Below are 22301 nucleotides of genomic sequence, written 5' to 3' on the forward strand. Positions count from 1 at the left end.
CACAAATCAGTTTGCCCTTTTGCTTTGCAGATGTGGAGAACTTTCATCAAACAAGACATAAATGGGGCCTGTTAGACAGGAGGTCAGAGCAGTCACTGTCAGATATTAATATCTATTCATTAAGATGATTTTTAATATCATGTTTTAATGGGCAGAGGTAAAACAATTGTGATTCTAACTTCTTGCTTGCATTGTAAACAAGAAAAAGGAAATGTCGTGACAAGGAATACTTGGAATTCCTCAGGTAAGTCACAAAACTTCTTCCCCTCATTCCCTCTGAATGCAAACCAAATGCATGGGGACTCCATTTGTACATGTGGTCTTTCAGGTTACTGCTGATTTGAGTCTAGTTGATTTAAAAACCAAGGCATAAAGAACACTATGCATATAAAGGTAAGCAAAGTGTTTGGAAATCAATTAAAAATGGATATTAACCAGTGGAGCTAAAATTATAATTATTGATTTCAGAAAAATATCTACCTTTTTTCTTTTTTTGCTTTCTATGGTAGTATAGTGCTTGGTAGAGTAGAAAGTTTGAATAGCATTTTTGTAAGTCAAATTCTAATTTATTGCACATTTAGTATATATCCTGGCACATTATTTACCTCCTTTCTTATTTTCTTGATCGTATTCTCCAAAGGATTATCTCTGTTATTGATCTTTCCAAGAATATGTTTTCTTTCCCGTTGATCCTTTCACTTGTTTTCATTTTGTTATTATTTTATTTTGCTAATGTCTATTTTTATCTTTATTAATCTTTCTTCCTCTCCTTTCTTTGGATATTGTTCTTTTATTAACTTTTGTGAGTTGAAAGTTTATTTTTTAATTTTCTGTTTGTTTTCTCTAGATTTCAGATGCACAGAAGTGAATTAGTTGCAGTTTTTGGTTCACGACATACCATCAACTCATATTTCTTTGTTGATGACTTATTTAATGTGAAAAGAACACATAAAACTACTATTCAAAACAAAATGTAGAACTGTGACATTATCTTCATTTAATCATATGGACTCCTATGCTATTTTTCTTTCTCCCTCTTGCTGTTGATGTAAACATTATCTTGAGTTCCAGATCTATCTTTCCTTTTTATATAGTCTTATTGCATCTATATGTAAACCTAAAATTACATATTTTAACTTTAGTAGTTGTATACTTTATGAGAAGAGTATCATGTTGTATGTAATCTTTTGGGACTTTTTTTTCCACTTCATGTAAGAATACGTATCAACAATGGTCTGGATACAGTGCTTTGTATGTATCAATCAAATCATGTGTATCAATACTATCATTTAAACCTTTTCTACTTTCAGTGACTTTTTTCTTCTTAATCACTTACAAGAGAGGTGTGTTAACATCTCTCACTCAGATTATGGGTTTGTCTACTTTACTTATTTTTTTTACTTTATGTATTTTTAGGTTATGAATGCAAATTCAGAATTGTCAAATTTTTCCAAGGTAAAATGGATCACATACCATTAAGAAATATCTCTTTATTATTTCTGGTAATTTTTTGTCATAAAATCTACATTGTTTGACATCCATATAGCAATATTAACTAAAAAAAAGACTGAAACTGTGATTTTTAAAAAGTCAAAAGACATAAACCGACATTTTACAGATAAAGCAAGGCAAATATCATTTAAAAATATGAAAAGATTTTAACCTCGTTCATAAAAGTAATGCAAATAGAAATTCTGCTGAGATACCACTGCTCATCTAAGATACTTTAAACAATTCAAACACTTACAAAACAGTGTGTTGACAAGACTATGGAGAAACAGGCACTGCTACATGGCAGGTGATAATCTCAAAAGGTAAAGTACAACTCCTGTGGTGGGGGATTTAGCAATATCTAACAACATTGCATATGTATTTATTCTTTGATCCATGGGTCTACCAGTCTATCCTGAGACTACTCCCAAAAAATATAAAGAACACATGCAGAAAATTATTTACTACAGCATTATTTGTAATAGCAAAAGATTAGAAACAACACAAACCTCCATGAATAGAGGGCTGTTTGAATAAACTCTATTATATGGCCAAAAGAGTGCTATGCAGCTGTTAAAATGAAAATGAGGAGGATCTCATGAGCTCATGGCTAGTGATTTCTAGGAGAGAGAGATATATATATATGTATCATATAATATAAATATATAAATATAAATTAATATATTAATTTATAAATATACTATATAATTATATATTGTATAATTATATGAAATTATATAATACATAAATTATTATATATAATATATCTATTATATATTAATATAAATATATAATAGATATATTATGATTTATAAATACATTACTTTATAAAGATAAATAATAAATATAATATGTGAAATATATGTTATATAATATATAATATAAATATATATAAAATATTTATTTTATATACATATAAACATACATTTTTTCATTTCATTCTTTTTATTTTGTTTTAATTTTTGGGACACGAAGTCTTCCTCTGTTGCCCAGGCTGGAGTGCTGTGGTGTGGTCATAGCTTACTGCAGGCTTCAACTCTTGTGCTCAAGCAATCCTTCTGCTTCAGCCTCCCGAGTAGCTGGGACTACAGTTGTGCACCACCACACCTGGCTAATTTTTAAAATTTTTTAATTGAAATGGGATCTCACTATGTTGCCCAAGCTGGATTCAAACTCCGGGTTCAAGTGATCGTCCTCCTTTGGCTTCCCAAAGTGCTGGGATTATAGGTGTAAGCCACCATGCTTGGGTGAAGATTTATTATTAAGGGAGAAAACCAAGTTATAGAGTGAAGCATATGTTATGCTGCTTTTTGTGTAATAAAGGAGAGGAAATATGAATAAATATATAGATTTGGTCATTTTCCACCAAAAGAAACATAGCAAGGATAAATTAGCAACTAATGAAATGGTTACCAATAGGGAGTTGAAGGGATGTGGTAGAGGGGCTGAAAATTGGCTGAGCTTTCTGGAGAATCAGTTTTGACTTTTGAACCATGTGTGTTTTATATATTCAAAAACTTAACTAAAATCAAACATAAATAGAAGAAACATCTATATCAAAATGATAAAGGGGAAAGAATTATTTCAAGTAACTTCTGAATTCACTCCTTTGTATACCTTTAGTAGAGCACATTTTAAAGTACAAAAGGACTGCCAAGAAATCTTAAATTTTACACTGGAGTTTATTGTTAGCAGTAACAATTGTAACTTGGAGGCTATTTTTCATTTTTATATTGTAGGCTAAAGTAAATACATAATTATATTGAGGTTTTTATAGGAGAATAAAATGTAAAATTAAAAAACCCTGTAACCTGAATTCAAGTTAGAAATATCAATATAAAATTGTATTTAAAAAACCCCACATTTCCAACCTTTGCCATTGAACATGCCTGGGAACAATGACCTTTGAGTAGCATTGAGCACACCAAACGTCTAGATTTGGGTTCTAAATGTCATTCTTCATTAAAAGCAACCAGGGCTCCTTGGAGAAATGGCTGATTTCACATCTGAGCTGGGAAAGAAAAACACGGTCCCAGGACTTCTTCTTGTGCTACCAAATAAGGAAGTGCTCAAACGCTAATGAGATTATGTCTAAGGGACACAAAAGTCAGCTTGAAGGACCTCTCACTGAGTACATTTGCGATGATATGAACATAAATAAAGATTATAATTGATTATGATACATGAAATGAACAATATGTCATGAGTTGATTACGATGGAATGGGGTAAGGAAAGGGAGAGGGGTGGTTCTGACTCAATTACAAAGGAATGTTAGTTAATAAATGTAGAAGTTATAATAGAATTAGAAAATCGCCATTTTTCAATTCCCAATAAATGATTCACTGATTCAGGTGAGCCTCAGCAATCAATGCTAAAGCCATTAGACAAAATGTTGTTTGGAAGTGGGAATATTCACAAATGGCTGAAGTGTCACCACACAGATTAATCACTGACTATAGTATAGCAAAGGAAAAAATGCACTTTTACAATACAGAGAGCTAGTGGTTATTACTGTAACCAAATAAACAAAGCTACCATCACTCATAGTGGGATGCTCTGACTGTGTGAGCTTCTTGATCTTATGCAATGCATATTCCACCCTTGTGAGATGCACTTGCCAAAAATGTGTAACCTGAATCTGTTCAAGGGTCCAAACATAATTTTTAATTAAAGGCAAAATTTAATAACACCATGAGAAAACAATTAGACAAATACAGGCTATGAGACATCCTGAAAGACAATGGGTTTCAACTTTTCAAAAAAATCAATGAAAAAGTTTAAAAAAAGGGAAGATTGAGGTACTGACTGTTCTATGATAATCTGATAACCAAGGCAATGCCTGAACCTTACTGGATCGTTTTTTCTTTTTAAATAGCTATAAAAGACATTTTGGGTGCAATTGGAGGCATTTAAAAATGGACTGGCTATTAGTCAATATTATGGAATTGGAATTATTGTTTATTTTCTGAAGTGTAATAATTGCATTGAAGCTATTCTTAGGAGATGCATGATGGAATATTTATGAGTAAAGTATCATAATGTCTGCAACTTCATGTGGCTGGAGAAAATATATATATATATAGAGAGAGAGAGAGAGAGAGAGAAAGAAGTGGAAACAGAGAGAGGGAGGGGGTCAGAGGAAGTGGGAGAGGAAGAGATGGGGAGAAGAGGAAAGGAGGGGTGAAGGTTGGGGAGAGGCAGGAGGGACAGAGAAAGAGAGAGGAGGTTTGTGGGTATAGAGAGGGGATAGAGAGGTGTGAGGTGTAGACATGGTAAAACATTAATAGTTCTTGACTGTAGTTGGTATGAATACAGATTCATCATATTATTTTTCCAGCTTTTGTGTGTTTCACGTTCAGAGTAAAATTGGGGAGGCACAGGGTTGCAGCTGAGAAAGAAAACACACTCGCACAGCCCTCTTGAAAGCAGCAGCTGTATACTTGAAGTGTATCCCAGATACCAGGGACTAGAATCTTGGTACACAAAGAACAGACTGAGAATCAGCAGCATCAGCAGCTTCTTGGAGTTTATTAGAAATGCAAAATTTCAGGCCCTACTCCGTACCTTCTGAATCAAAATCAGCATTTTAACAGGCTCTCCAGGTGATTCACTTGCCTATGAAGTTTTGAGAATACTAGTGAATAAGGCAAAATAACCATTGAATTTTCCGTGAAACACATCTTCTAATTGTCCAACTACTTTCTTGATGCCACAGCTATTACTATCTGAATTTACACTGTCTTTGTAAACTTAAACAGCAGGACATAATATAACCCCTGGATCTTTTATTTTTTTTTTTTCTTCTGTGGAACATAGGAGAATTGCTCCATAATTATATTTGTCTCAGGGCAGGTGGCCTATGAGTCAATAAACAATAAGGCTGCAAAGATTCAGATTGTCTTCTGCTCCATCTACTTCTGTATTTCCTCTCATCAGATACAATTATAGGAAAATAAAGAGACTTCCTAAAAGGCAGAAAACAAATGTTCCTAGGATTCTGTTTTGGATTTCCTCTGCCAGCTCAGTATTTGTGGACTGCATTTCAACACTGATATGGTTTGGCTGTGTCCCCACCCAAATCTCATCTTGAACTGTAGCTCCCACAATTCTCACATGTTGTGGGAGGTAATTGAATCATGGGGGTGGGTCTTTCCCATGCTGTTCTCATTATAGTGAATAAGTCTCATGAGATCTGATGGTTTTATAAAGAGGAGTTCCCCTGCACATGTTCTCTCTTTGCCTGCCACCATGTAATATGTGACTTGCTCCTAAGGAGCAAGGGCCTTCCACCATGATTGTGAGGCCTCCCCAGCCATGTGGAATTGTAAGTCCATAAAACCTCTTTCCTTTATAAATTACCCAGTCTTGGGTATGTCTTTATCATCAGTGTCAGAACAGACTAATACAAACACCTTCTCTGCTCTGTCTGGATTAGAAGCCTGACCAGCAAAACTGGATTGTCAACAAGTGAAACCCCTTCTTCAAAAACAGTGACTGAATAATGGCTATGGAAACCCAGGGCCTCAAAAAGGTTTTCTCAAACTCTGATTTATGAGGACTTTTATTCTTGTTGTTCCTTATCCACCTGAGGAGAAATGTTTTACCATCTCCTTTTTTTAAGATCTCTTTGCCCTGAGATGTCTAATTTGGGCTTTCCAAATCTGTAACACTTCTTGGGTATAATAAGATCTATGTTAATTCAGGGTAACAAGAATCACTATTGTCTTCTGCTTATTGTTTCTGATCTACACATGAATCTAAACATAATTTGGTGCATTTCTGCCCATTTTCTGGCCCAGGCAAGAAATGGGTGTGTCTTCATCCCTTGAGTCATTTATTTCCAGATAAATATGGTCCAGCTGCTGAAGTTTTCTGTGTTTTCCACACTTCATATAAACCAACCAGACTCCCCGAGAGATTTGGACAATAGTTGCCTAGCACAGATAATAAGGCTAGTAAATAGCTCCCTATTTCTGACACTTTTGAATGCAATTAAGAAGTGATAGCTCATCTGAGCATGGGTAACACTCTAGGGTTTGGTGGTGAATAAGCTCTAGATGCTTTGCTTTTCATCTCTCATATCTTTCTTGCTTCCTGTCTTAATCTGGCTGTGGTTTTCTAAGGGATCTTCGTATGAATTATGCCCTTGGCATTCAACTCTTCCCTATTTCTTGCTGCAAAAGGAAATTGGCCAGATGGGATTTGATGCCCCCTCCCAATGAACAGCTTACTCCTCAGTATTTGTACTTTTGAATACACATAGAAAGTACCAGATGTCCTTTTTCTTTCCCTGGGAAAAGAGGCAGGGTGGTTACACCTGTTTCCCTCTTTTTTTTTTTTTTTTTTTTTTTGAGGTGGAGTCTTGCTCTGTTGCCCAGGCTGGAGTGCAGTGGCATGATCTCAGCTCACTGCAAGCTCCGCCTCCCAGGTTCACATCATTCCTGCCTCAGCCTCCCGAGTAGCTGGGACTACAGGAGCCCGCCACCACGCCTGGCTAATTTTTTGTCTTTTTAGTAGAGACGGGGTTTCACCGTGTTAGCCAGGATGGTCTCAATCTACTGACCTCGTGATCCACCCACCTCAGCCTCCCAAAGTGCTGGGATTACATGCATGAGCCAATGCACCTGGCCACCTGTTTTCCTCTTTTTCCTTTGTCTTCTTCTACAGTCATTATTGATTCTTTGACCTTGTGAAATGCCCTCTTCTCAATTGAAAGCCTTTGTTATCCTGAGTGAATTTAAACTACTGAATTATGCATATGGAAATCATAGCATAGCAAAACAAGATGGAAGTCGTAGATTCAAGAACTGAATTTTTCAGTATTCTTATAAATTTTGGAAATTTAATTTCTTGGTGCTCCAATTTTCTTGTTTTAAAACTGGAGTGGATGAGGCTTCCTGACCTACTTCCCAAGGATATATTGAGGAGCTAATGTACTTGAAAGTAGACTGCTCTTTTATAATTCTTATTTTGAAATAATTGTAGATTCACATGCAGTTGTAAGAAATAATACAGAGGTATCCTCTGTATCTTCACCCAGTTTCCTCCAGTGATAATTCTTGTGGAACTAAAGTACAATATCACAACCAGGAAATTGACATTGATACACATCTCACCTTATTCAGAGTTTGCCAGTTTTGCATGCATTTATTTGTGCACACGTGTGTATTTACTTCTGTTTTAATTTCTCAGGGTTGCTGTAGTGAAGTACAACAAACTGGGTAGCTTAAAACAATAGACACATATTCTCTCTAGTTCTGAAGACTAGAAGTCTAAACTCAAGGTGCTGGTGGGGCCATGTCTTCTCCAGAGCCTCCAGAAGATGACCCATCCTTTCCTCTTCTAGCTTCCAGGTGTTTCTTGGCTTGTGGCAACATAGCTCTGATCTCTGCCTCTGTCATCACATGACCCTCTTCTCCCTGTGTGTTTTCATGTCATCTTTCTTCTTTGTGTGTGTGCCCCAATTTCCTCCTTCTTATAAAGACACCAGTCATATTGGATTAGGGCTCACACTATTCCAGTCTGGCTTCCTCTTAACTAATTACATCTGCAGCAGCGCTATTTCTAGATAAGGTCACATTCTAAGGTACTGGGGGTTAGAACATCAACATATCTCTTTGGGGGTCACAATTTGCGCAAGAAATTCTATACAATTTTATTACACATGTAGATTTATGTGCCCACTACTACACTCAGGACATAGAACAATTCCATCACCACAAGGATCTTTTTATAGTTGTAGATACCTTCTTCCCTCTCCTTTGCCCTACCCCCACAGATCTTTGGAACACCACTCATAAGTTCTCCATCTCTATGATATTGTAATTTGAAAAATGTTATATAAATGGGATCATACAGACCACTTTGTAAACTTAACACCCTGCACTCGTATACATGTATATGGTGGTGTAGTTGTACACAGCTGGATTTTCTACATCATCAAAGGGCAGGTAATGTAGAGTTTGGTTTTTCCCAGTTATGTTTTTCTGAGCTCATTTTTAATTCCTTTTTTTTTTTTTTTTTTTTTTAAAGAGACAGGGTGTCACTTTGTCATCCAGGCTGGGATGTGCAGTGGTGTGATTGTAGCTCATTACATTCTTTACCTCCTAGGCTCAAGTGTTCCTCTTGCCTCAGCCTCCTAGGTAGCTGGGATTACAAGTGTGAGCCACTACGCCTAGCTAAGTTTTCTTTTCTTTCTTTCTTTTTTTTTTCTCTAGAGTTGGGGTTCTCACTATGCTGCCTCAGTTGGTCTCAAACTCCTGGCCTCAAGCGACCCTCCTGCCTCACTCCTGGCCTCAAGCTACCCTCCTGCCTCAGCCTCCCAAAATGCTGGGATGACAGGCATGAGCTACCATACCTGGCCTCTTCTGGGCTCTTTGTTGGCTTGTATAGAATGTTGGCCAGCACTTTTTTCTTCCTCACCTTCTTTGCCAAAGAAGGGTTGGAGACTATGGGAAATGTTTGCTCTGAGTGCATTTGGCCTCTGCTGTGACCCTGCTCCTCCATGGGAGACCTGTGCTTATTGCAGCTGAAACTCAACTTGTATTTGCAACATGCCGAAATGCTGTAAATTTTAAGACATGAGCGATCATAAAATTCCCAAGGGCTATTGATAGACAAATATGTAATGTACCAGAAATTGAATCCTACAATGTTAGAGTTGTATGGGAACCTGAAAGCCATTTTGTTCCTCCTCTCACCTTTAGGAAGGATGTGCTCAAACAGATGCAAATGAGACACATTGTGCTGCAGCGTAGTCAGTTGTGCTCCAGACTATACTTGGGACCTAGGAATGTTCTGAAAAAGTTGACTGCTCTTTATTTAGGTTTCTTCCCCAGTGTTGTCCTTTCACATGACTTGGCTGTTCTGACTGCCTACCAGTGTATTTTTCCTGAATTAGGACAATTCATATGTATTTGCCTTATTTCTAGGAATTAAAATATAATTGTAAGCTAGACAATGTACTTATTCAAACTCAGAATGTCTAAGCATAAGGAATCAAATTATATTTCTAAAGTGAAAGCACTAAAGCAATTTTTGGATGCCTCTGAATGAAGCCAAAGGTTGATCACTCATGTAGTTCCGAATTGCCAAACCATTTTCTTACTGGAGAGGAAGTGGGACCTCTCTCAAAGCTTCTTCATTGTCCGACACAAAAGAGCTGTCCCATATGGCTATTTTTGTCCCTTGCAAATGTTGTAGCAGTTTAGCAATCTATCGACTTGACTTTTTTCCATAAACATGCTGCCTGTTAGATGCATAATTCAAATTCACACACAAACGGTGAGATGTTTGCTTAGCAAGAGCTATAATTTAAACGTAACCTCTGTAGAAAGCCATTCAGCAGTGCCTGTGTATAAAGTGCAATTTAGTCTGTAGAAGCAATCTTCCCCTCTACTGTTCTAATATGTGAGCTTGTTTGCTAAATAATCATTGTAGCGTTTTGCTCAAAGCGGTGGTTTTATGTATTTTTTCCTCGCCACTCGTAAATGTTGCCAAGGTAAATGAGAGTTCTTTGGAAACTGTTACTGTCATGTAGTTTTCATTTGAAAATGTCACAATAAAGCAATGTTCTTTGATGCCAAGAAGCATGGAACATTGGAACATGATAAACATAGTGCCTAAATATAATAAAATAACATACCACAGTGGCTTGCTTCTCGCTTAAAATGAGAGGCTTTTTGTTGTTGTTATTCTAAAGGGTCCAGTTTGAGGGACAGAGCTGGAAGTAATACGGAATGTATAAGGAGTTACTAAGGTGAGAGTTTAGAGGAAATTATTATTATTTGCATCTTGGGCCAAATGGAAAGGAAAAGAAATTTGGAAGAAAAATGTACTCCAAATAGGTGAAATGGAGATTATAGTCCAAAATATGCCATTAACACCAAGTTACAAAACTCTTTTCAAGAGCCAGGTAGAGGCACAAAGTCAAAGCAAAGTTTTAAAGGTGTAATTTGAATAGTCAGTGGGGAAAATACAAATAGAAAAAAAAAGATAAAAATAAAGAAGAAAGATACAGAGGCAACCAGAAAGGGGAAAGACATTATTTTCTAAGTGCATGTTCGATATCTTTTTCTTGTTCTGCCTACTACAATGTTAATGAATACCAAGCATAATTTTTTGTGTTAGAGTCCTAAAAAATGTCTAGGCAGTAAAATTTGTTAAATCTCAGTGGTAAATCCATTGATGATTGTTACATTATTTTTGCACTTTTGTATTTTAAAATTATGACAATTTCTAAATTATGAGATTGGGAATTCAAGTCCATTAAGGAGATTATAGAAATGGCAAACAAATGACATCATGAGATAGTAATATGGGAAATTCTAGTTGCATTACTTTCATATATTTGAAGGCATAATTATAATGGAAGTGATCTGTTTTATTCTCATTCTTCAAAAGCTTATTGAAGTTGGGTGTGGTGGTGCAGGCCTGCAGTCCAAGCTATTCAGATGAGATTCAGGAGGTTCGCTTGAGCCCAGGAGTTTGAGGTAAGCCTGGGCAACATAGTGAGACCCTGTCTCTGATTAAAAAAAAAAGTTTATTGAGTGATTACTATATGCCAATCACCATGGTGGGCATGAAGCATTTAAAAATGAAAGATTTTGCTTCTCGCTGTGGAGGACCCAATATCCTGCAACATTATTATGGTATGTTTCAGGGGGGCCCAGGAGGCCTTATTTTCCTCCCGAATACTTCCATGTCTAATGTGTTTAAACTTATTAAGACACAACTTTTCTCCTTATCATTTGTCATCATTTCATGAACTCCAAAAAAATTAATCTTTTTCAATTATAGTGCATCTTGCTTCTGACTACTCACCTTGGACAAAAGTTATTCATCATCATGCCCTGTGATTGCTTCCAAGCACCAATTGCCACTATAGGAAGCTTTCAACCTTTAAGAAATTTTGAAGAAATGGGCCTACTGCTCTCAACCCAATTTTAAAGCAAAAAATTTTTAAGCAATGACAACGTTTCTAGAATAAATACATTCATAATCACCACTTTGAAGAGAAAAAAATTCCTTTAGGTGCCGATGTTCTGATGTGTTTCCCTTTTAAAAAAAGTTTCTTTTCCACATGCACACGTATGTTTATTGCAGCACTATTTATAATAGCAAAGACTTGGAACCAACCCAAATGCCCATCAATGATAGACTGGATAAAGAAAATGTGGCACATATACTCCATGGAATACTATGCAGCCATAGAAAGGAATGAGTTCATGTTCTTTGCAGGGATATGGATGAAGCTGGAAACCATCATCCTCAGAAAACTAACACAGGAACAGAAAACCAAACACTGCATGTTCTCACTTCATAAGTGGGAGTTGGACAATGAGAAGACATGGACACAGGAGGGGAACATCACACACTGGGCCCTGCTAGGGGGTGGGGGGAAAGGTGAGGGAAAGCATTAGGATAAATACCTAATACATGCGGGGCTTAAAATCTAGAGGGCGGGTTGATAGGTGCAGCAAACCACCATAGCACATGAATACCTATGTAACAAACCTGCACATGAAAGTTCACCTACCTATGGCGATTATCCCTGGTTACCATTTAGCTGTGTCTTAGTCTGTTTGGTCTGCTATAATAAAATACCATAAACTGTGTGGCTTATAAGCAATGGAAATGTGTTTCTCATGGTTCTGGAGACTGAGAAGTCCAAGATTCATGGAGCCAGCAGATTCAGTTTCTGGTGAGGGCCTGCTTCTTAGTTGGTAGACATCTGTTCACTGCATTCTCACATGGTGGAAGGGGCAAGGCAATACTCTGGGGTCTCTTTTATAAGGGCACTAGACCCATTCATGAGGGCAGGCCCTCATGACCTAATCACCTCCCTAAGTCCTCACCTCCCAATGCTTTCACAGTGGGGATTAGGTTTCAACATGTGATTTTTGGGAGGACACAAACATTCAGACCATAGCAAGCTGTTGCTGGACACACAGAGCTTCACCTAAAAATTCAAAGGTTGTCTTGGGGGATAATAGGCACTCTTGTGTGGTGGCATTACCTTTTGGAATTCCCAGGGTGGTCTTGCTCACCACTCTTCATTTCCAGCTTCCTTCTCCCAAGTGAGTTAGGCCGTTGCTCCAGGCCTCCTGATGGTCCGTTCCCATTGCAGCACTTTCCTGGTCAACTTCCTTTTCATTCAAGTTGCTCTCGCTGTGATATGGTTTGGCTGTGTCCCCACCCAAATCTCATCTTGAACTGTAGTTCCCATAATCCCCACATGTCATAGGAGGGAACCAGTGGGAGGTAATTGAATCATGGGGGCAAGTACTTCTGTGCTGTTCTTGTGATAGTAAGTGAATTCTCATGAGATTTGATAGTTTTATAAGGGGATTTGCCCCCTTTTGCTGGGCACTTCCCCTTGATGCCACCATGTAAAGAAGGTTGTTTGCTTCCCTTTCTGCCATGAATGTAAGTTTGGTGAGGCCTCCCCAGCCATACTGAACTGTGAGTCAAACCTCTTTGCTTTTTAAGATACCCAGTCTCAGGTCTGTCTTCATTAGCAGTGTGAGAACAGACTAATACACCCTGGCTAAGGACTCTAACCTGACTCTGACATTGTTGCCCTGGGCTTTTGAAGCTGTATCCCAGCTGATTCCTAGAAACTAATTCTCCCAAGGATATTGGTGCTTCTCAGGAATGAGAATGGAATTTTGCCCCAGCACTTGGAAATGCTTTCACAGGAGCAGTAAATGTCTCTCTTGTATAAATAAAATTGCCTGGGCTTTGCACTGCTCTCGGCTCATTTCCATTTTGCCTCCTCTGTGACTAGCTCCTCCTTATTCTCAGAGTATCCTAGGGACGGCATTTTGTCGTAGCATACTATTATTTTCTCTGAAGGAGGGTACATCAGAAAAGGGTTACTTTGAGTCACAAAGTATACACAAAAACTCCAGTTACCTAAAATACTCTTGGAATGGGATTTTCTCATTAGTAGAAATTTCTACTTAGAGTAAGACAAATTTATGTCTATTATTATCAAAATATAAAGCAATCTTCAGTAGTAATGTAGTTAATAATAGCAAACATTTACCAGGCATCTACTATATGCTAGGCGCTGTCATTACACTTACTCCCAATCTCATTGAAGTCTACCAACAACTTTAAGAGGCAGAATGGTAATTAATCCCACTTTATTGATGAGAAAACTGAGTCACATAAAGGTTAAATTACTCATCCAATGTGACATAGTTAATAAATTAGTAAGAGGCAAAGTAGGGATTTGGACCCAGGAATGTTACACGTGAGAACCCAGGCTTTAGGTTTATGATATTACCTCCACACAGACAATAGGCAGTCTCAAAACTTCTGAGATGAGTTTGTGTTTGTAAGAGTTTACTTTTCAAGGATACCCTCCTCTTTTCATGTTAACACTCTCAAACCGCTCCTTATATACCCTGTTATACAAATCTCACTCCTTTGAGGTCCTTGTTATTCAACTAAACTGTCATCCCTCTCTAGTGACTGTCTAGTCCCTCTCCTTCACCATCCCAAAGGGAATAAATCCAAGTGAGTAAGTTATCTCCTGTCAGATCCTTAGTCTTCTTGTTTCCAGTGAGAGTTGGAGTACATTTTGCAGTCTACTTTGCAGTCAGATGAGACCCAGTGACTGGGTTCTGTTCAGTTGCACTCAGGCCATGATGATGTAATGTTGCCTCCAAGCCAGGGCTGGAAAATCACCCAAACACTCCTTCTAGGTCTCTTTCTTTGTTCTTTGGCTGGCCTCATGCCATGGGCAGTGGTCACTAGGGGATGGTTTACCCAGGCTCTGCACTCACTGTCTCCCTTCCATCACGAGGTCTTTGTATGCTCTCCTCCTCAAAAACTCCCTTCTTCCCTCTTCATCCAGGTGAAAGCTGTTCTCTCTTTGGCCTACAGCTTCCTCAAGAACACCCTTCCTATCCTGCTAATTAGGTCACATTAACCAGTATGAGTTATCAGAGCACCATGAGCCTCTCCTTCTTAGCTGTTACAGTAGTAGATGATCCTTTAATTGTACAGTTTTACTTTAAATGCCCAAAGGGTTTGCTTCTTTCTATTTTGTCCACCATTAAATCTCTGACATCTAGTACAGTGTCTGATACAGAGCAGGTACTAGTTATGTATTGAATGAATGAATGGAGGAATAAGTGAATAAATACAAAATTTTCTTTTTAAAAAATTTTCCATTTTAAGAGATCAGAGTCTTACTCTTTTGCCCAGGCTGGAGTGCAGTGGTGCAATCACAGCTTACTGCAGCCTCAAACTCTTGGGCTCAAGGGATTCTCCTGCCTCAGCCTCCTGAGTAGCTAGGACCACAGGTGCACACTTCCATGCCTGGCTGATTTTTCTTATCTTTACTTTTGTAGAGATGGGGTCTTGCTATGTTGCCTAAACTGGTCTTGAACTCTGGATGTCAAGTAATCCTCCCACCCCAGCCTCCCAAAGTGATGGGATTACAGGCATGAGCCACTGTGGCTGGCCACAAAATTTTATTATTATATATTCTCCTATTTCCTGAAAAGGAGGCACACAGATATATTTTCTCCCGCAATTAAAAATATGGATAAGACAGAATTTTGTATGGTTCCCCTCTTGGGATCTTAGTTTTATGTGAATTATTTTGCAATGTTTACTCTTAATTTTTCTAAAGTTTTCTTTTCTACTAAACTAGAATGTATAGTTATAAGTTTGGTATCACAGGGATTTCAAACACAGCAGGGTTGTGTTTTTGAAATTTTTTTTGTTCACTGCTACCTCTTTCAGTGTATCTTAGTTCTCCAGAGTCCATGAAATTGTAGAGAAAAAGGGAAGTTATTTACACTGGTTTATTGCAATTTTTTTTAGTTTTTTCAGTGGAATAAACAGTAGTTGCCAGGATGCTTTATTCCTGAAACTAGCCTGACAAAGTGTGAAATTTCATGCTCATATACAAGTTCTTCATAATGATTTTTGTAATTTACATTCTTTTTTGTCTAAGACTTCAGGCTTTTAGCTTTTTGCTGCAAAATTCTGAGTTCTTAAAGAGTTGTTAGTTTCTGCTTGTGATGTTAATTCCTAAAAAAAAAAAAAAGAAAGAAAGAGAGAAAAGGCAGTTTCTTTAGAACTGGCCACTTGATTAGTGAGAAAAGTACAAAGGTGGTAATCATTATGAGTAAGACTCAATGATTGTATGAGCCTATAAATGTGAAGTTGATGATTGCACAGACATACGTAGAATTAATGGCCCTGATAATATAGAGGGACTTGAGCATTCCTGATTCAGTATATTTCCTTCCTATTCTTTCGTTTGGAATCCTGAATTGCAATAAACTGTCTTGAAGGTATTTCCCAGTTCTGTGATTCTAACCTGCACAGGTGAGCACTAGCTATACATTAGGATATGAAAGTAGATTAAATTTGTAACCCTGTGAAGCCTTATCTAGTAACTCTAAAAGCACTTACGTTTCCTTCTGTTCTTCTTCTATTCAATTTCTATCACCCACCCTTTTTTTGGCCCTGTCATCAGGAGCCATACAAGCACCTTGTTGTTCCTAGTCTCATCTTTTTCCCCACCCATTAACTCTTTAGGATCCTAACTTGATTCCAAGGTATTAAGAAAATACACACACACATGCACACACACACACACACACACACACACACACATACATATATATATGTTTTTAATTTTTGTACACAGTAGGGGTATATGTTTGTGGGATACATAAACTATTTTGATACAGGCATAGAGTGTATAATAATCACATCAGGATAAATAGAGTATCTATCACCTCAAGCATTTATCCTTTCTTTGTTTCACAATCCAATTATATTCTTTTAGTTATTTTAAAATGTACAATAAATTATTGTTGACTGTAGTCATCCTGTTGTGCAAATACTAGATCATACTTATTTTATCTAATTATATTTTTGTATCCATTAACCATCCACACTTCACTCCCCCCAACCCTTCCCAGCCTCTGGTAACCATCCTTCTACTCTCTATCTTCATGAATGCAATTGTTTTAATTTTTAGCTCCCACAAATAAGCAAGAACATGTGAGGTTTGTCTTTCTGTATCTGGCTTATTTCACTTAACATATGACCTTCAGTTTCATCCATGTTGTTGCAAATAACAGGATATCATTCTTTTTATGGCTGAATATACTCCATCATATATGTGTACCACATTTTCTTTACCTATTCATCTGTCTATGAACACTTATGTTGCTTTCAAATCTTGGCTATTGTGAGTAGTGCTGCAATAAACATTGGAGTGCAGATTTTTACTGATTTCATACTGAAATCAATGTACTGATTTCCTTTCTTTTGGTTATATACCTAGCAGTGGGATTGCCGGATCATATGATAGCTCTATTTTTAGTATCTAGAAGAACCCCCAAAATACTAAAAATACAGCTACCATATGATCCAGCAAAAAGGAACATTTAAAAATTTTTAAAAATGTTCCTTTTCACAAAAAAACCCACCATGCTATTTGCAAATAAGGAAACTGGGGCCCAAAGAGGTAACGTCAATTGTCCAGTTATAGAATCATTTAGTGAAAGAGCCAAGTATATATGACCAGCTCTTAACTCTTAGCTTGATATGTTTTCTAGTACATTATCTTAATTATTTCCATTGGGCTAACAGTTATCTTAGCCTCACAATTAGTAATGGAAACCAAATCAGCCTTGGGCAGAGGAATTACCTATGTTACTTTAGAATTAAAATATCTCTTCTAAATTGTAGTAAATAATTAAAAAGTTATTTTTCTTGTGTAAATAAAAAGGAAAAAACTTGGGAAATTGGGAGAACAATACAATATAGTCCAAAGGACAGGGGAGAGAAAAATAAAAAGGGCATGGAGAATGTGGAAGTGATGTTTCCTGAGAGGAGCAGGGAGGAAGTTGGAAGGTGAGAAATAGATAAATTTCTGACCCTGTGAAACTCATAGTCTGTCAGACAAGACATGATGTGAGATAACTTGGATTTTAGTGAATTATTTTCTTCTAAAAGAACAGTTTTAAAAAACAAATACTCCATAAATGTTACTGATATGCAGGAAGCAGCACTAAAGTACTGGCAAAATTATCTTGCTCAGTCCTTCCTACATTCACCTGAGAGGTAGATGCTGTTTAATCCCTATTTTACCTATGAGAAAACTGTGGCTGAAAAAGTTTTAGAGACCTGTTCAAGGTCACATCACTAATAAAGATTTAAAGATTATCTGAATTTCTTTCTGGTCTTTTAAACATGATCCAACACAGGCAAAGATTCATTGACCTCTCAATCTCAAAGGTAGTTTGCAGTGCTGTAAATTTTTATCATCACAGATAACCCTATTGCATCAATTAGAATTCACAAGATCATGTAGCCATACTTAGTAATTCTCCAAGGTATCATTATTCTTCATTGTACAAATTGAGTTCTTACTGTGAGCTAGGCATGCACGGTGCATTGGGAAATCAAAGACAAATAACACATAGTCTCGTAGGAAAGAGAAAGCTGAATTCAAGTTATCAGCACACAGTATACTAAACACAGTGATGGAAAAACCTCAGAGACACCTGTGAGAAACCATGTGATGAAATCTCTGCTGAGTTGGGAGGCTATGAAGAGAATATCAGTTTTCTGGGGCTACCATAAAAATAAAATACCACAGTCTGAGTGGCTTCAACAACAGAAATGTATTTTCTTACTGTTCTGGGGGCTGGAAGTCCAAGATCAAGCTATGGGCATGGTTGGCTTCTTCTGAGGTTTCTCTCTTTGGCTTGCAGATGGCCACCTTCTTGCTGTGTCTTAGCATGGCCTTTTCTCTGTGTGGGTGCACCCCTGGTATCTCCCCTGTGTCCTGATATTTTCTTACAAGGACACCAGCCATACTGAATTAGGGCCCACCCTACTAGCTCACATTAACTTAATTACCCCTTTAAAGGCCTTATCTTCAAATACCATCACATTCTGAGGTATGGGGATTGGGACTTCAGCGTAGGAATTTCAGGTCTGTAACAAAGGCCAGCTGAGATGTTAAAGGAATTACATGGCTCTTGGAGTTGTGTACTAGGAGAAGCAGGCCTCCTGACCTACCCCCTGCTCAGAGCAGTTCTTTTCTCATATGAGCATTCAGAGAATCTCTTGGAGGCCTCATGAAAACAGATTGCTGATTAGTTTCTGATTCAGCAATCTAGCTTGGTCCAGGGTAGGGGCTGATAAATTGCATTTCAAAGAAGTTCCCTGGTGCTGCTGTTGCTGTTGCTAATCTGGCGATCACACTTCCAGAGTCACTGCTTTAGAACACAACCTCTGATCCAGCCCATACCAGAGACCCTGCTGACCCCTGGAGGGTGTTGGAGCAAATTCTGGAATGAGCTTTGCAAGGACTGGCCTGGCATTTTCTCTTTTTTTAGGCTGGTTGTAGAAGCTCTTTTTTTTTTTTTTTTTTTTTTCTGACTGCCATCTTTAAAAAGCTCATTTTGTTCACTGGAGATAAATATTGCCACTGCTTCTGCCTCTCCCCACCTCCTTTCCCTGCTATTTTTCTGAGCTGTTTGCTTCAGATAGGCTCGTCATCTGTCTGAATTGTGGCTATGTATTCCCCTCATAGCATGGTGATTTCTGGCCATGCAGAAGACAGTAGCTCTGGGATTTGTTGTAGTTAGGCATGTTTTATATTTCCTTAATATGACTAGTTGCCTGTGTCCTGAACTCTGTGTATGTGTATGGAGTAAGGCGGAAGAAGCAGGTTTGTCTTATTTAGTGAGTTTTTCATCATGGGACTCCAGCATATATTTACCCTTAAAGAATGCTTGTTGAGGGTTGTAGCCTTTCAATGCTGTCTTGAAGCTGGGTAGTTACAATTTAATGCTAACTACGACCAATAATCATAAAATTAAAAAACAAAGAAATTACGATTATAACATTCTGTTCTCCAGGCACTAAGTTGGCTACAAAGGCATTCATTATCATTATGGATATTAGTGTTAAGTGGGCGCATTCATATTTTATTTTGTATTATCACAGTTGAATGATCATAAACACTAGCAGGAAGAGAACTGAGAATGTAAGGCATCTTTTATTCATTACTCTTTTGCCTGTATGTCCACTTATGTGATGTGCACATGGGTCAAATCAGTCATTTCAGCCAGCTCCGTGATCCGTTTGGATCTCTCCATGATCAATCTGGCCCAGACAGTTGGTAGCAGAGAGGGGGACAAAGGAAATAAAGGATCCACAGTAGCTTGTTCAAATGCCTGCTGGAGAGACATCACTTCTGTCTGCCTTACAAGCTTTGTTTCAGAGTGTCACATAACAGAACTGACACTGTGTGTGTGTGTTTGTGTGTTAACTACATATGTCTGTGACAGTGAACAGCATAAAGTCAAAAAGATTACACAAATGAGTGTCACATAACAGAACTGACACTGTGTGTGTGTTTGTGTGTTAACTACATATGTCTGTGACAGTGAACAGCATAAACTCAAAGAGATTACACAAATGTTTAGAGCAGGTACAAGAGCAAAAGAAACAAGTGAAAAGGGAATCATTTCTTTTCTCATTAACCCTTCATTGGTCTGGGTTGTTGAGATGCCAATCTTCCAAAAATGTAAGTCCTTCTTGAAATGATTATGCTGATCATCCATTCACTCAGCGCACATTTACTAAGTGCCTCTATGTGTCAGACATTTGTATTAGCAGCTGTGAACAGAGCAGTCAATAACACAGACATAGTCCCTCTTCTCATGGAGCTTCCTATATACTGAAAGAGATAAGTAATGCACAGACAAATAAACAATGGAATAATGGCAGAGTCTTGGGAAATAAACGGATGATGTGTTAGAAGGGGTGGTTAGGGAAGTTTGTATGGGAAGTTGACTTTTAAGCTGAGACAGGAGAGATGAGAAAGATCTATACTTGCAAGGGGAAGAGAGCCATGTGGGCAGAGAGGATCACATGTGGGAAAACCTTCAATTACAGATATCATAATCAGATTGTCTCCTAAGATCTATGTGATTGAAGGAATGTGTGTTTTCAATGATGAGTAAAAGTCAAAGGTAATTTTGGATATAAGTTAGCATTAGGTGAAGCAGAATTTGGTGGGCAGTTGGTGGCCACTGGAAAGCCATAGCCAGGGGGAGGAATAAACGAAGTGTGGCAAAGACACATTTCTCTATTTAGCAATTCTGTGTAAAATATTTTAATGCCAATAGGAGGCTGTGTGCTACAGAAAATTTGCCCCAGAACAGCATCCTCGGAGAAAGGGCAGCATTCCTTAACTCTTGGCCTCTTCACATTTGTCTGGCTAAGTGTGATGGCATACTCATGGAGACAGGTGTTGTCTCACCTGCTTGCCTGAGCTGTGAGCACGGTGGGCTAGGTTCCATCTGTATAAATAATCTAGGCCTATTTAGAATTGTCCATAAGCTCTGCACTGCACCTGCACTGGCTGTTCAGCAAAAGACAGGAGTCCGGTCTTGTACTCTATATTAGGCTCAATGCAGCAAAACCACCCAGTTGAAGAGTGAAAAATTTATTCAATCAACCCATTGTTTAGTGTTCAAAACATTTTAACAGTTTGGGCATTTAACTAAATTGGCCATAATTTGAATGGGCATCAAAACTGTTAAAACTAGCCAAAGTGAAATGGAGGATCAAGACAATTATTGTGGTCTAATCATTCATTCAACAAGTAATGAAAGCCTAACACATGAAATTGAACCCATTTCATGAACCTGGGGGAGGGAGAGTTTTGAGAGTCAGAAATGCTGTCATACAGTTGAGTCTGCTTGACTAGGGGAAACTCATCCCAGACTTAATCACATTCCTTTGTCACCTTAGAGATGGAGTTTGCAAAGGCATCACCATATATGCCCACAGCAAAGATTCAATTAAAGCCTGATTTTTAAGTGTTTTTCAAAAAGTATTAATAATATCTACTATTTATTAAGATAAGTGGAATTTTGCAAACTAGTTAGGAAGCTGTCTAGACAGACAAAAATATATTTTGGGTCTTGAGGTTGGGGAAAAGTTTAGTATGTTCAAAAATGGTTATTCTTTCTCTATGCTATTACACAGGACCAGTGGGAAAGAATGATGAGAAAGCAAAGGTAGTTGGAGCAAGTTTACAAAGATGTTTACAAACACCATTGCTGAGAAGCATGAACTTATTTTTTAGGCTAGTAGTTCTTAAAGTTTAGTGTGCTTAAGGATCATGAGGCATGCAGGATTGCTTAAAATGCGAATTCCTAAGATTTACTTTCTGTGATGCCAATTCAGTTGGTCATGAGTAAGACTTGAGTGAGAACAAGTCTTTTGAACTTGTGTTTCATGTGATTTGGAAGGAGGAGGTCCAAGAATCACCAAATCACCATCTGAGATGTATCGCTGAGGGTAATAGGAAGCTTTTGGAACGTTTGAATCCAGAGAGTGTCTTATAAGGTTGCATTACTCTGATCTAGTTGAATTCTTCCATTAATGTGCTAATTCTCAGCATTACTGATGCTATGTTAGATACCTGGTTTTGTGTACTTCTCCACTGTCATGTGGTACCCACAGGAGATTAATATTAATGATAACAAGAAGGCAAAGGTTCTTTGGTGCTGTAATGCACAATGGCCTCCCATAAAAAAACTTCCATGAATTGAAATATATAGTCATGATTCAATTTAGAAATCTCCCCAACCAGAAGTTGGGAAGATTTAAGTTTTATCTAAATTTGTGTGGCGGTTTTTTTATGGTATCTAGCACTTTGTGGCAATTCATTGGCTAATCCAAATGTCTTTGTCAATCTAATTTCCTGCCACTAAGGCCATTCAGAGTCCTCTGGGGTCTC

At 37.8% G+C, this 22301-nt stretch overlaps 1 long non-coding RNA gene across 5 annotated transcripts in view, besides 1 other annotated feature; it reads left to right on the top strand.

The window, feature by feature from the left end:
- The window catches only part of LOC105379364 (uncharacterized), a 535736-nt gene that overhangs the window by 193868 nt on the left and 319567 nt on the right, over positions 1 to 22301 (top strand). The gene's annotated exons all lie outside the window — the stretch shown is intronic.
- Positions 5 to 506: an enhancer, noted in NCBI's record as "NANOG hESC enhancer chr8:33773772-33774273 (GRCh37/hg19 assembly coordinates)". NCBI's record gives its function as "activates a minimal SCP1, AML or CMV promoter by ChIP-STARR-seq in primed H9 embryonic stem cells {active_cell/tissue: H9 hESC(primed)}" and the evidence as "EXISTENCE:reporter gene assay evidence [ECO:0000049][PMID:30033119]".

Source organism: Homo sapiens, chromosome 8, assembly GCF_000001405.40.
Source record: "Homo sapiens chromosome 8, GRCh38.p14 Primary Assembly".
NCBI classification, from domain to species: domain Eukaryota; kingdom Metazoa; phylum Chordata; class Mammalia; order Primates; family Hominidae; genus Homo; species Homo sapiens.